General features: G+C 47.0%; 1 annotated feature.

The window, feature by feature from the left end:
- Positions 641–690: a silencer, noted in NCBI's record as "silent region_9389". NCBI's record gives its function as "represses an Ori minimal core promoter by ATAC-STARR-seq in GM12878 lymphoblastoid cells {active_cell/tissue: GM12878}" and the evidence as "EXISTENCE:reporter gene assay evidence [ECO:0000049][PMID:35858748]".

Below are 1,095 nucleotides of genomic sequence, written 5' to 3' on the forward strand. Positions count from 1 at the left end.
AAGCACCTGGAGTGCTGTTTGGGCTGGCAAAGCTCTGGGGATCAAGTCCCAGAATGATGCGTGCACTTCCTCACCAAAATAGTGCTGCTTTTCCTTCTGTCTGGGATGTCTAACCTGTCTCCAAGCTTGGCCCTCTGACCTGCAGGCTTAAGCTTCAGCCTGGACTCTTCTGTGAAGGCATTGCTGACCCCTTCAGAGAGATTCTAGAGTGATTTCCCAGGCCCCCCTGTACAGCGGTCCACCTGCATTATTTGCAATTGCCACATGGCCCCACATGTCGCCTCATGAGGCTGGGAACTCCCAAAGGCAGTGGCTAATAGGTGCTCAATAAATGCTTGGGAAAGGAATTCGTTGTTGCTTTTCGGATACTGGGGATTTAAAATAAATATTACAAAGTATTTTGGGAGAAAAATATAATGGTGTCTACTAGAGTTCAAAGCAATGTGCAACTCTGCCATAATTTTAAGCTCTTGGTATACTTGTTATCCTGAATGATGTCAAGTATTGTAATCCAGTTTCGTGAATCTACGACAGGACAACTAGCAGCTCTGGGGGAAGGAAGCACAAAACGCAGAAAGCAAAAGGAACCGCATCAAATTACAAGTAGAGCTAGGCAAGCGGCACATTGAAGAGGCTGCTTAAAACACACACGTGGGATGGCCACAAGGTGGCAGCTTAGAACCGTGACATTACGCATCGACCATTCAAAGACCGAACAGCGGGGAATGTGGCAGGCTGGAGAGTGGAGAGCGGGTTTATTGGGGCAATTAGAACCGGGAAAGGAGAAAGAGACCGTGATTTATTGTATTTGGTGCGCACATCCTTATAATTTTGTTTGCCCTAGAAAAAAGCACAGGCACACACACTTAAATGCATATACACAGCAAAGACTCATCAATTTCACTCTTGAGAAGCGTTAACCCCAGAATGAGTCTCCTGTGCAGTCGCGAGCTGGCTGTTTCCTGAGGTGGCCTCACGTCCTTCGTACCTTTTATGGCGTGCTTTTATAGGCTGTTTAAGAACTTTTTTTTTTTTTGAGACGGAGTCTCGCTGTGTTGCTCAGGCTGGAGTGCAGTGGCACGATCTCGGCTCACT

This window comes from Homo sapiens, chromosome 18, assembly GCF_000001405.40.
Source record: "Homo sapiens chromosome 18, GRCh38.p14 Primary Assembly".
Taxonomy (NCBI): domain Eukaryota; kingdom Metazoa; phylum Chordata; class Mammalia; order Primates; family Hominidae; genus Homo; species Homo sapiens.